This window comes from Homo sapiens, chromosome 2 (genome assembly GCF_000001405.40).
Source record: "Homo sapiens chromosome 2, GRCh38.p14 Primary Assembly".
Taxonomy (NCBI): domain Eukaryota; kingdom Metazoa; phylum Chordata; class Mammalia; order Primates; family Hominidae; genus Homo; species Homo sapiens.
Window position 1 is genome coordinate 125,726,521 of NC_000002.12, and position 15,351 is coordinate 125,741,871.

The 15,351-nt window shown below is 37.7% G+C and overlaps 2 long non-coding RNA genes across 4 annotated transcripts in view; one reads left to right on the plus strand and one right to left on the minus strand.

The window, feature by feature from the left end:
- Positions 1 to 15,351, plus strand: part of LINC01889 (long intergenic non-protein coding RNA 1889) — an 82,638-nt gene that overhangs the window by 15,571 nt on the left and 51,716 nt on the right. The window lies entirely within an intron of this gene.
- Positions 1 to 15,351, minus strand: part of LOC124900611 (uncharacterized) — an 85,494-nt gene that overhangs the window by 658 nt on the left and 69,485 nt on the right. The gene's annotated exons all lie outside the window — the stretch shown is intronic.

The window sequence follows — 15,351 nt, forward strand, 5'->3', positions numbered from 1 at the left end:
GCTGAAAGACTGATAGTCTAACCAATATTTATCTTTTAAAATTGTTATTCATATAGATGATTATGCATAATCATGACAAGATTGTTAATTTGGTGATAATGAAAATTATTATTATCCTCTTAAAAAGGAGAAAACTGACACCCAAGAGAAAGAATTTTAGTAGACAAAAGGGGACCGGATGCAGTGGCTCACGCCTGTAATCCCAGCTCTTTGGGAGGCCAAGGAGGGTGGATCATGAGGTCAAGAGCCTGAGACCAGCCTGGCCAAGGTGGTGAAAACCCGTCTCTACTAAAAATACAAAAATTAGCCGGGTGCGGTGGCAGGCGCCTGTAATCCCAGCTACTCAGGAGGCTGAGGCAGGAGAATCGCTTAAACCCGGGAGGCGGAGGTTGCAGTGAGCCGAGATCGCGCTACTGCACTCCAGCATGAACGACAGAGTGAGACCCTGTCTCAGAAAAAAAAAAAAAGATACAGAAGGGAGGAAGGGAAGTGCTGGATACAGGAGGGCATGGTCCCTGGTTAGGGCTCCACCACCATGGATCTGGGTGAGGACAGGCATTTCCTGACTAAATGTTGCATTTCCCAAGACCACCCTGGCCTGCCACTCCCCCATACTGTACCTATAAAAGCCCCCCAAGACTCTAGCAGGCAGACACACAGGTGGCTGGAGCACATCAGCAGAGGAGCACACAGGCAGCTGGACGTCAAGAAGAGCACATCAGCGGAGGAATACCTGGGTGACTGGACATGGAGAGGAACACACTGACAGGCACTGACACACTGCCAGGCCACCCACAGGCAAAGTAGAACAATGCAGAATTTGGCTGGGGAGTTGGAGGACAGCCCTGGCCGGTGAGTGGCCTGACTCCAGGGGAACATCTCCCCATTCCATCCCTTCTGACTTCCCCTGAGCTACCGCCACTCAATAAAATCTTGCATTCATTCTCCAAGCCCACGTGTGATTCAATTCTTCCAGTACACCAAGGCAAGAACCCAGGATACAGAAAGCCCTCTGTCCTGCGACAAGGGAGAGGGTCTAAATCGAGCTGGTTAACACAAGCCTATAGACAGCAAAACTAAAAGAGCACCCTGTAACACACACCCACTGGGGCTTTAGGAGCTGTAAACATTCACCCCTAGACACTGCCGTGGGGTTAGAGCCCCACAACCTGCCTGTCTGTATGCTCCCCTAGAGGTTTGAATAGCGCGGCACTGAAGAAGCAAGCCACATTCCCATCGCACAACCCTGCGAGGGGGACAAGGGAACTTTTCCCGTTTCAAAAGTGCCATGTAATGTAACTAGTAGACAGATTTTCAGAAAACCCCATGGAATATCACTGGAACTAAGTAGAGTCTCTGGATTGATGTCAGGGGAAAGATTGGAGTCAAGTGGCCCAGGACCCACCCCTGGCTCACCCAGGTTCTAACTGAATCCATGGACATTAGAGTCACTGATTAAAGGAGCATTAAAATATGGTAGTGTTTAAGTGTGCTAGCTCAGGTGTTAGATTGCCTGTGTTCTCACCTTGTACCACTACCTCACCAGGTGGACATAGATTCATTTTCATAACCTCTTTGCCCTCTGTTATTCATGTGTTAAATAGGGATGGCACTTTTGCTAACGCTGGGGTTCTTGGAAAAATGGAATAAGATAATACATGTAAAATATTTACAGTAATTACTGCACAATCATAAGGTCTCAGTGATTATCAACAGTGTTATTATCTCTATCATCCTCATCATTGTTGATTCCACTGGCACCCAGATTTCCACCTCCTACATTTAGGAAAAACTTAAACTGACAAGAGCAGAGACTGTGCCAAGGCCATCTATCACCTTTCTTGAATGGGGACCTTGATTTAGGGTGACTAACTGTCCCAGTTTTGAGATTGTACTGGTTTTAGTACTGAAAGTACTCATCCCATAAAATCCTTGATTCCTGAGAAACTGGGACAGCTGCTTACCCCTGAGGAACAGCTGAATCTAACAGATTCCAATGCCCCATTCAGTCAAAAAAGAGAGACTGAAGAAAGGCAAGCTGCCCTCAGGGAACAAACTGAGAGGTGAAGCCAGCTGGGCTTCTGGGTTGACTGGGGACTTGGAGAGCTTTTCTGTCTAGCTAGATTATTGTAAACGCACCAATCAGTGTTCTGTGTCTAGTTAAAGGATTGTAAGTGCACCAATCAGCACTCTGTGTCTAGCTAAAGGATTGCAAATGCACCAATCAGCACTCTGTAAAAACGAACCAATCAGTGCTCTGTGTCTAGCTAAAGGATTGTAAACACATCAATTAGCACACTGTAAAACCACACCAATCAGCACTCTGTGTCTAGCTAAAGGATTGTAAATGCACCAATCAGCACTCTGTATGTAACTAAAGGATTGTAAACGCACCAATCAGCACTCTGTAAAGTGGACCAATCAGCACTCTGTAAAATGGACCAATCAGCGCTCTGTAAAACTGACCAAACAGCAGGATGTGGGTGGAGCCAAATAAGGGAATAAAAGCTGGCCACCCTAGCCAGCAGGGGCAACCCACTCAGGTCCCCTTCCACGCTGTGGAAGATTTGTTCTTTTGCTCTTCACAACAAATCTTGCTGCTGCTCACTTTTCAGGTCTGCACTACCTTTATGAGCTGTAACACTCACAGTGAGGGTCTGCGGCTTCATTCCTGAAGTCAGCGAGACCACGAACCCACCAGAAGGAAGAAACTCCGGACACATCTGAACATGGGAAAGAACAAACTCCGGACACACCATCTTTAAGAGCTGTAACACTCACCATGAAGGTCTGCGGCTTCATTCTTGAAGTCAGCAAGACCAAGAACCCACTTTGTTGAAGTCAGCAAGAGCAGGAACCCACTGGAAGGAACCAATTCCAGACACAAAAGCTTTGTTTTTTCCAACAGGGAGAAAAAGCAAAGTTTGCTGCCTCAAGGGCTGTCCAACCAGTGCTGAGCAATAAGCTTCCTAATACCACCAACTAGGGAAATCCAGGCCAGGGATACCATCAGACCCTCAGCACTCAGGCTGCTGCTCCTTGGGAGACAGGAGCGGTTGGAGAAGAGTCAGATCACTTATTTTTAAGGGAGGCCCAGTCTTGACTACAGTCATCAAATGGGGACCCACAATTCATACATGCGTCAAGATTTCTTCAACTCATGGCTTTATGTGGTCTATAGATGCCAGTATTAATTGTGGAATTGAAAGCATGAGCATATAACTCCAAAGTTACTTCAAGGCAATTTTATAAAACAATTATGAATGTTGTGACCAAAAAGTCATGCCATAAATAAATCAATCCTATATTCTACATGTTTCTTTGCAAATACCCTATGATCTCCTTGTCTCTTATCTCTTTTTATAAGATAATAGTCATGTTCTGTCCTTTCTTGATACAGGATATAAAATTCTTCCACTTTGCTTATTTGTTATTTCAATTTGTACTTCAAGCTGGGTGTCTTTGGCATGACATTTAAAGTAAACTTCTGTTCTTTCCAACAGGATGTATAAAATGTTTGCTACAAATTATAGGTTTGGAGGCAGGGTTTTGCTTTCTTCATATGGCTCTATACCTTTTTGCCTTTCTAATGTTGGCTTTCTAAGTCTCTGGTCAGTTACCTGTTCCCTATACCAGGATGGTTGATAAACCCTTCTCTATTAAGAGAAAAGAGTATATTTCTGACCGGGGTTTGAGCAAAAGGTGGATTCTCCCTCTTGACAGAGCTGTGAACAAAAAAGCTGCTTCTTTTATGGTATACCCAGTGATAGTAACAATGAGGGGAATTTTGTCTGCATTAGCATTCTGTGCCTACTGTCATATGGGATTCATGAGTGTTTCTTTTCTTATCCTATACCTGGGAGGCACCCAGTGTAATGAAAAAACATATTTGAATTTATATGAACAGAATGAATTCTAAGTTAAAATATGGTTCCCTCCTCTGAGAAAACTCTAAGGGGATTTAATTCCAGGCCAGTTTGTATATCTGATGCATGTGTTGAAAGCATGAAAGGTGCTGCCTGCCCCTTTTCCAGCTTCTCATCAAAAAATAAACCCAGTAATGTTGCAGCTTCTCCTTATTCTTAATTTTTAACCCAACAGTTTTACTTCTATACACACATAAATTTAGAGAGAGAGATTTAAAATATAGTTCTTCTAAGCTTCGAAACTTTGAACAACTGGAGATGCTAGAAAGATAATATTTTCTTTTATTTAAAAAATCAACTGTTATTGAGATGAGACTTTCATACAATTTTAATTTTTCAATTTTGAACTTTGGTTCCTAAATTCAACAAAAGTTAAGACAAGACATAGAAGGACATTGCAGCTGTCAATTTTCTCAATTCATAAAATACCAGTAAGAATGGTATCTGATCTCAAAGAAATAAATACACAAGAAAGATGTGAATTACCTTGTCAAAAGAGCCTGAGCAATAGCGACATATATAGATACAGCTTAGCTAAAATAAGGCTTAGCTAAAAGTACCGGGAAAGAGATACAATAGGAAGTGTTAGTCATGAAGTAAACCTGGCTTATGGCGCTTTTATGTGAAATTTTATGACTGTGTTAGTTAGGCTTTTTTGGCAATAAGTAACAAACTCAGCTCACACAAGTTAAAGCATAACTGAAACTTTATTGGCTCAGGTAACTGTGAGGGTTGTCGGGGAAGCTCACAGGAACCAAGATAGTTACAGTTGCCAGGTCTCAAGTGCTAGAACCAAAATTCAACATGGCCAGGACTCTTTCTTTGATCTGCCCTTATTCATGCTGGACTTTATTTTGCAGAGGAAGTTAGTTCCTCCAATAAAAATGATGCTTGGGAACATGTTCTAGGTAAGTAGCTCCAATGGAATGAAGTTTTCTATGTCAATGTCTGTCCACTAAAGTCCTGTGGAGAGCTCTGAATAGGTTCTGTTTGGTTTCGAGATGTCTACTCTGGCATTAGTGTAGCTGGTGGAATGGAAGACTCATTGGCCAAGGTGAGTCATGTGACCAATGAATGGATAAGGAGAAGAAATTTTGTTGTTAGAACTGTAATGAAGGGAAAACATTCTGGCCATCTAAAAATGATAAATGCTTAAGTGTTTTGCTTTAACTTTGGACAAGATAAGCTTGTATGAGTCTCAGTTTCCTTGTCTGTAAATTAGTTATAAAATTTGCCAACTAAGTGTACCAGAAAAATTAAAAGTAACGTGTAAAAATTCCTAGTAAATTGCAGAATTTAATAATTCCTAATACAATTGCAGTAGTTACAGACTTCAATAAATGTGAGTTCCAACCACTATCTGTATGTCTTAGTCTACTTGGGCTGCAATAACAAAATGCCATAAAATGCATGTTTTAACAACTAAAATTTATTTCTCACATTTTTGCTGTCTGGGAAGTCCAAGATCAAGGCACTAGCAAATTTAGTGTCTTGTGAGCACCTGCTTCCTGATTCTATGGACAGCCATCTTTTACTGTCTTCTCACATGCTGGAGATGGCAAGAGGTCTCTCTTGGTCCTTTTATTTTATAAGGGCACTAATCTCATTCATGAGTATTCTGCCCCCCACAACCTAATTATCTCCCAAAGTTCCCACTTCCTAATTCCATTACCTTGTAGGTTAGGATTTCAACATATAAATTTTGAAGGGATTCAAACATTCAAACCATAGCACTGTGGTAACAAGTTAACTGCCCAAATTTTTGTAGTTTAACAAAATCAAAGTTACTTCTTGCTCTCTAAAGGTGTAACTATTGACAGGTAACTCTCTTTCAGTGACAGAGACGACTTAATCTTACTGTTCCAGTATCCTAATCTTGGAGCCATTTATACCCAAGTGGTGGAAGGAAAAATTGATAGTAAAAAAAAAGCACACCTGCTCCCTATAACTCCGTGGTAAGAAGTGACTTGATTACACCTAAAGGCCAGGAAGCATGGCAAGTGTAGGTTCTCGCAGGTCAGCTACCTCTCAGTGACTAATTCATTTTATGAGTAAAAGAGAAACAATTTTGATGAACGATGAGGGTTTTTTGTTTGTTTTTTGTTTTGTTTTGTTTTGTTTTCTACAGCCAATACTGCAGCACTTGGATCAAATGATCCTCAGGTTTTTTCTTTATGTGTGTAGCATTGAGCCAGAAGGACCAATGGCTAAATTGGTCCTTCTGGGAACTCAAAGTTAAAACTACTTAGGCTATTTACAAATACATCAGGATTCTTTGGATCTCAAGCTCTGTTTTGAAGTTATATGACCTCCATGGTACATGTTCTCCATGAGAAATAAAGGTCAGGGCAAGAGGTGCTTCATCTACCACCCTCTCAAGATACTCAAGACTGATCATAGTAAATGGATCAACCAACTTAAAGGAGGGATAAATACCATAAAATGTTCCCACTGGAAACAAGGGTTTTGATTAAAATAAGAAAGATGATTTACTGAATTTGCCCTAAAAGAAATAAATAGAGAAATAAAAGAAAAAGAAAGAAAATAAAGCTCAGACATGAGGAATTAAAAAAAACTTTTATCTGAGGAATATGAGTCCTTTTAAATTATTAGGCCCAGAGAGATGTCAAATGAGATTGCAGCAGGTCATGTCCCACTTCCCCCCTTGAGCTGTGTGTTCATTTCTTAAACCTGCTATTGACACAAATAGCAACACATTAACCTCATAATATTGCTCTGGACACTATAACCAACACCCTATAGCTTGACAATGTGTAGCCAATCACTATCAATGCTGTTTCCCTAAATCAATGAGAAACCCTGACAAACAACTTTGTATCAGCTCGCTCCCTCTTCCTCTTTTTTTTTTTTTTTTGTCTTTAAAAATCTACTTGTGACTGCTGCTAATTGAAGGGTATATTCAGGGCAACTTGAGTCTATGCTCCCAGGTTGCAATCCACAAGTTTAGTGCAAATAAACTCTCTACTTTTGTTAACTTTGCCTCAGCATCTTCTTTTTTGGTCAACAGACACAAGTTTAAAATAAAATTCCTGTGACTCAAGAAACCAAGAAAGCCAGTTTTCATTCAAAAGTATCTGCTAACATTGACTTCCATCAGCTTCTCTTTTTAACATATAAATGAGAAGAAAGAAATAAATCCTACAGCCTTCCCAGGGTAAGGAGTTCGATAGAAGAGTGCATACAACTGAGACTCACGAAAACTTCGATCATAAGTGACAGGTGAAAAATAAATAACCCCCTCATGCAGAAGAAGACAGCAAAAAACATGAGATTCTTAAACTTTTCTCTAAAGGGAGAGGTAAAAAATCTCAGAAATTCACAATTAAACTTTCACATATTTTCAGGCCTGAATACATGTCACTTGAATACAAACTTTTTATTGACAAAGATTATTCAACTGGGTAAGAAATCAGAGATAAAGAACACATTTAAGCTAGATATAAAACATTTATTTTGCAACATGTTGTGTTGTAGATATGAATGGTAAATTGGGATGGAGTTTTCCAACAGGCAATTAGATATTTGTGTTTATAACTTAAACAGGTTTGAAGTGTAGCTATCCATCAGTGGGGTATAACATCTAAGGCCATTCGAAGCCATGAAAAGTAGATGAAGAATTCGCTTTCAAAAATTGGTACACTAATTCTGATAGACTCTTCAACTAACAAAACTGGAAAAAGTGGATTAAATTAAAAACAGAAGAAGGAACAAAGAGAGAATATCTTTCTTAGAATTTGAAAGGAAGTTATCACAGTAGCTACAGAAGAGGGCTTCTGTATGTGACTTGTGATTTTAGGTAGGGAATTTCAGCTGCAGTCATCCAATGGTCTAGCAGAAAAGAAGCAGAGAAGGTCCTGCCAACCTTCCATACCCTGTCAGTGCATCCCTTTGGAAAAATCTAACTGAAAGCCTGGCTCATGAAGTCCATAGTATCAACCTGTTGAGCCAAGCTGTGAATCTTGTAAGGCTATTAAAGAATATTCAGAAATAAGAAACAACAACAACTGTTATGTATACATATATATGTGTGTATATGTATATATGTATACGTATACACGTATACACGTATACGTATACACGTATACACGTATACGTATACACGTATACACGTATACGTATATATGTATATGTGTATATGCATACATGTATGTATGTGTATGTATACTTATATATGTGTGTAAGTATACATATATACGTATATGTGTGTATGTATACATATATACGTATATGTGTGTATGTATACATATATACGTATATGTGTGTATGTATACATATATACGTATATGTGTGTATGTATACATATATACGTATATGTGTGTATGTATACATATATACGTATATGTGTGTATGTATACATATATACGTATATGTGTGTATGTATACATATGTGTATATATGCATATATATGTATATATAAGTGTATATATGTATATAGAACATATATATACACACGTACGCTTTTTGATGAGAAGAGCTATAACTCATTGGGCAAATAAAATGGTTCTAGGCTGTCAAAGAATGACATTTTAAGAAGTTGAGTTTAAGAATTTAAGAACTCTATTAGTCTGTTCTCATGATGCTAAAAAGGGCATAACCGAGGCTGGGTAATTTATAAAGGGAAGAGGTTTAATTGACTCACAGTTCCACATGGCTAGGGAGGCCTCCCAATCATGGCAGAAAGCAACTGAGGAGCAAAGTCATGTCTAACATGGTGGCCAGGCAAGAGGGCTTGTGTATGGAAACTCCCCTTGAAAAAGCCATCAGATCTCATGAGACTTATTCACTCTCATAAGAACAGAAATGGGGAATCCACCCCCACAATTCAACTATCTCCACCTGGCTCTGCCCTTGACACATGGGGATTATTACAATTCAAAGTGAGAGTTGGGTGGGGACACAGCCAAACCATATCAGTAACGAATTAGCTTTAATTGCTCATTCACTGATAGGGCAGCATTCAATCTGTGAAATAGAAAGGTGCTTTGCTGAGCAGAGCAGGGGTGGTGGATCTTATAGGCAGAAAAGACTGAAGGAAGGAGAAATGAGGAACAAAAAGTGAATTGGTGGTTCAAAGTTACTTTCCTGGTATGAATTAATGTCAGATTATCTGGGCTTCTTATAACTGCTTGCTGTGAATCTCCTGTTTTCTTTTGGAAAATAGACCCATTCTTAAATTCTGTTTGATTCTGTGATATTTAGCATAAGTGACTCCATTATGATTTATCTATCAGGACCTTGTTGAGGATCTCAGTTCAAAACAATGGCTGCTATTTATTTTATTTAAGGCTCCCTTGTGAAGGTGAGTCCATGATCCACAGAGTGAGCACTTTCTGGGGCACAGCGGTGGCCAGTCCAGAAAGAGTCCAGAGAGTAGCACCATGAATCCAGACCTTGCTGCAGGTGATACACAAAAACTGTGAAGTAGAAGCAATCTGGCTTCACTGTCCCCAAGAGAAAGCCAAAAACAAATATTTAATGCCAAGATCGTCATCAGCAATATCCTAGAACTCAAATCTGTAGCTGAGAAAGTCCCCAGGGGCACAAAGAGGTTAAAAACTCAGAGAAATGGTAATACAAATAGAATTCTCTATACACAATGCTTCCCTCCCAATCTACCAGGCACCATGCACAGAAAATTCCTCCTGGACTTAATGGCTTCTACACTGGAAAAAAGTGAAATTGGGGCTGACAACTAGCGTCCCCATCATTTTGGATTTCCTTGCAGAAAAACCGTTTCTGCCTCAACCCAAGAGAAGCATTCCAAATGTGTTTAGGTAGAAAACACCTAAAGGCAGCTGTGAAGAATGAGAACAGCAAGAACTAAAAAAATCAGCCCATAAAACCCTGCTCTTTATCTTAGTGAAAGGAGATGCTAAATCACAGTGCCTATGTACTAGCACTATGCTATAGGAGGCATGTTCCATGGGTCTTCTGGGCAGGCACCTACACCAGCCTTTCCACATAGCCACATATCCATTTTGCAATTTTCCCTTCCAGGATGGGCAGTGCTCTTCATGTTTGCAAGAGCCAAGGCTAACATTGACTTAAGCCACCATCTAGTACTGATAAGGAAACAGTGATCTAGGACTAAGGGGACTCATAGGCAACTGCAAAGAACCTCTAAGTAAATATACATACCTTCAAAAGACCTAAACAAACCCGACAGCAAAGACTAGAATAAATAACTAGAATACCTCTTCAATGTGAAGCCATACACATATATCTACAATAAACAAGAACAGACAGGGAACCATGACCTCCCCAAATGGAAAAAAAAAACAAGGAGCCAATGACTAACCATAAAGAGAGAGTGATGTGTTAGTTTTCAGATTAAGAATTCAAAACGATGATCCTAAAGAAACTCAGCAAACTCTAAGACAACACAGAAAAGCAATTCAGAAATGTATCAGGTAAATTTAACAAGGATATTGAATAATTTAAAAATTAAACAGAAATCCTGGAACTAAGAAATTAATTTATTGAACTGAAAAATACGTTAGAGGCTCTCAATAACAGAAAGGATGAAGCAGAAGAAAAATCAATGAGTTTGAAGACAGGCTATTGAACAATATACAATCAGGAAAAAAAAGAATGAAAAAGAATAAGGAACATCTGGAAGATATAAAGAATATCTATATTTCTTGCAAATCTTAGGATAATCAGCACTAAAGGGAGAGTGGAGAAAGAGCAAGGGGTAGGAAGCTTATTAAACAAAACAATAAAAGAACACTTTTCAAACCTAGAGAAAGATACAATTATTCAGGAATAGGAAGATCACACATCACTAAACAGATTCAACCCAATAAGACTATCCTAAGGCGTATGATAATCAAAATCTCAAATATCAAAGACAAAGAAAGGATTCTAAAATAAGCCAACAAAAAGAAGTCAGTAGCAAATAAACTACCTTTAATTCATCTGGCAAGAGACTTCTCAGGGAAAAAAAGACAGGCCAGGAGGGACTAGGATGAAATATTCAAAGTGCTGAAGAAGAAAAAAAACTTTCAAGCAGAAACACTGTATTCAGCAAAGCTTTTCTTCAAATATGAAGGAGAGACAGAGTCTTTCTCAGGCAAAGAAAAAAAATACCAAGGTAATTCGTCACCATTGGACTTCTCTTATGAGACATGCCAAAGAGAGTTTTTTGTTTAAAATAAAATGATATAAATGTGCAAAAAGAAAACATTTGAAGGTGTAAAACTCACTGACCAAAGTAAGTACACAGAATCAATACTTTAACACTGTAATTATGGTGTGTAACCCACTCACATTCTAGTATGAAACACAAATATGAATCTATCCAAAAATAAAAATAACTATGGAAAACTGTTAAGAGATAGTCAATAAACAAAGATGTAAATTAAGACACAAAAATGTCAAAATAGGGGAGATAGAGTTAAAGTGTAGAGTTTTTGTTATTTGTCTGTTTATTTGTGATAAAAGTTACTTGTCATCTGTTTAAACTTACTTATTGTGTCTACAAGATGTTCTCTGTAAGCCTCATGGTAACCACAAAGCAAAAGTATATATATGCATATATATTTTAGTGTATAATAGATACACTGAAACTAGAAATAAACTCTCAAAAACAATAGATTAAAATATACTACTAGAGGAAACCATTAACCACAAAAAAGATGGTAAGAAAGGAAGAGAGAAGTTATAAAACAACCAAAGAAAAGTAAATCAATAATAACATTGCATGTATTGCATGTAAATGGACTAAATGTTCCAATTAAAACATGTAGTGAATGAATAATTTAAAAAAAAGAACCAAATACATGCTGCCTAAAAGAAACTGACATCACATACAATGACACAGAGACTAAAAATGAAAGAATGGAAAAAGATATTCCAAGCAAATGTAACTATACTTTTATCAGATAATTTAGACTTCATGTCAATGACTGTAAAAAGATGTAAATAATGTCACTATATAATGATAAAGAGGTCAATTCTGAAAGAAGATGTAAGAATTGTAAATATATATGGCCCAATGCCAATGCACACAAAGTTTTAACACAAGCATTAGTAGAGTTAAATGGAGAGATGGACCATAACACAATAATGACTGGGGACTTCAACACCCCACTCTCGGTAATGGACAGTTCATCTAGACATAAGATCATAAGATTAATAAAGAAACATCAGTTAAACAACACTCTAGACCAAATGAGCATAATGATGTTTAGGAAACATTTTACCCAACTGCTGCAGAATATACATTCTTCTCATCAGCATGTGAAACATTCTCCAGGATAAACCATACTTTTGGCCATAGAACAAGTCTCAACAAATCCAAGAATGTTAAAATTTTATCAAGTATATTTTCTGATCACAATGGAATACGATGAGGAATTTTGGAAACTCTACAAATACATGGAAATTAAAACACATATTCCTAAATGACCACTGGGTCAATGAAGAAATTAAGGCAGAAATTTCAAAATTTCTTGAAACAAGTAAAAATGGAAATACAATATTCTGAAATCTATGAGATACAGCAAAAATAGTGCTAAGAGAGATGTTTATGGCCATAAAAGCCTACAACAAAACAGTATAAAGATTTGACACAAACAACCTAATTATGCACTTCAAGGAATTAGAAAAGCAAGAACAAACCAAACCCCAAATCAGTAGAATGACAAAAATAATAAAAACCAGAGCAGGTGAAACACAGTGGCCCATGTCTGTAATTCCAGCGCTTTGGGAAGCCAAGGCAAGAAGATCTCTTGAGGCCAGGAGTTCAAGACTAGCCTAGACAACACAGGGAGACCCCTGTCTCTACAAAAAAAAAAAAAAATTAATTAATTAACTTGGTGTGATGGTGCACACTCCCAGGCTCAAGCATTTCCCCCACCTCAGCCTCCCTGCTATGCAAAAGGAAAAAATAAAAAAAAAATTCAGATCAGCTATAAATAAAATGGACACTAAAAAAAAAAAATCAGCCAGGCGCGGTGGCTCATGCCTGTAATCCCAGCACTTTGGGAGGCCGAGGCGGGTGGATCACGTGGTCAGGAGATCACAACCATCTTGGCTAACACGGTGAAACCCCGTCTCTACTAAAAAAATACAAAAAATTTAGCTGGGTGTGGTGGCGGGCACCTGTAGTCCCAGCTACTGGGGAGGCTGAGGCAGGAGAATGGCGTGAACCCGGGAGGCGGAGCTTGCAGTTAGCGGAGATCAAGCCACTGCACTCCAGCCTGGGCGACAGAGCGAGACTCTTTCCCCCCCCCAAAAAAAAATCAACAAAATGAAAGGTTTGTCTTCAAAAAGTCCAGCAAAATTAACAAACCATTAGCTAGATTAAGAAAAGAGAAAGAAGAGTCAAGTAAAATTATAAATGAAAGAGAGAAATAACTGATACCACAGAAAGGCAATTGACCAATAGAGACTATTATGAACAACTATATGCCAACAAATTGGAAAACCTATCAAAATAGACTAATAACTGGACACATACAACCTACTAAGATTGAACCATGATGAAATGCGAAACCTGAACAGATCAATAATGAGTAATGAAATCAAAGCAATAATAAAAAGTCTCCCATCAATATAAAGCCTAGGACCTGATGGCTTCACTGTTGAATTCTACGAAACTTTAACAGAAGAATTAATAGCACTTCTATTCAAACTATTCCAAAAAATCAAAGATGGAGAATACTTTTAAACTCATGCTATGAGGTCAATATTACCCCTATACCAAAACTAGACGCCAATATCCCTGATGAACACAGATGCAAAAATTATTTTAAAATACTAACAAAGTGAATCCAACAACACATTAGAAATATTATTCACCATGACCAAGAGGGATTCATTCCAGGGATACAAGGATTGTTCAACACATGCTAATCAATGAACATGATATATCATATTAACAGAATCAAGGAAAAAAACAAATCATAAAATCAATAGATGGTAAAGTAGTATTTGACAAAATTCAACATACTTTTATGATAAAAACTGAACAAACTGGATACAGAAAGAACATACAAAAATAAAGGACATATATGACAAACTCATAGCTGACATCAGAATCAATGGGGAAAATTGAACTTTTCCTCTTAAGATTGGAAATAAGTCAAGAATGAATACGTTCATCACTTTAACATAGTATTAGAAGTCCTAGACAGTGCAATTAGACAAGAGAAAGAAGCTAAGTGCCTCTGAAATGGAAAGGAAGAAGTCAAATTATGCTTGTTTGTAGACAACATGATATAAACACTACCTAAAAACTGTTAGCATGTATAAACAAATTCAATAAAGTTGTAGGATACAAAACTGATGTAAAAGTTTACTACCATTTATACATGCCAACAGTGAACAACTGAAAAATAATCAAGATAGCTATTTCATTTACAATAGTAACACAACGTATGAAATACTGTAGAATAAATTAAATCAAAGGAGTGAAAGTTATCTCCAAGGAAAACTATAAACACTGATTTAATAAACTGAAGACAACACACACATACAAACAAAAGATAGCCTATGTTCATAATTTTGGAAGAATTAATATTGTTAAAATGTCAACACTATCCAAAGGGCTTTACAGATTCAATGCAATCTCTACCACAACACCAATGACATTCTTCACAGAAATAGGAAAAAAAAAAAACAAAAAACAACTAAAATCTGTATGGAACCACAAGAGACTCTAAGTAGCCAAAACAATATGGAGCAAAAAGAACAAAGCTGGAGACATTACACTACCTGACTTCAAAATATACTACAAAGGTATAGTAACCAAAAAAGTATGGTATTAGTATTAAAACAGACACATAGACAATTGAAAAGAATAGAGGACTCAGAAATAAATCCATGCATTTACAGCCAACTCATAATTGACAAAAGCGCCAAGAACATACACTGAGGAAAGGACAGTCTCTTCAATATATGATGCTGAGAATACTGGATAAGCGTATGCAGAAGAATGAAGATAGATTCCTTTATCCACCATACACAAAATTCAAATCAAAATGGACTGAAGTCTTAAATATAATACCTGAAACTATGAAACTTCTAGAAGTAAACATTGGGGAAACACTTCAGGTCATTGGTCTGAATAAAGACTTATAGGAGAAGACCACAAAAACACAGACAACAAAAGATAAATTAGACAAATGGAAGCCATAAAAAGGAGACTATGTTATTTGCCACAACATAAATGGACCTGAAAGACATTTCACTAAGTAAATAAGTCATATGCGGAAAGAAAAATATTGCATAGTCTAATATATATGTGTAATATTAAAAAATAACTTAAATACACAAATATAGAGAGCAAAATATTGGTTAGCAAGGGCAGGGGGAGGTATGGAGAGGAAATGGGAAGATGTAGGTCAAAGGGTATGAAATAGCAGCTACATAGAATGAATAAGTATAGAGATCTAATGTA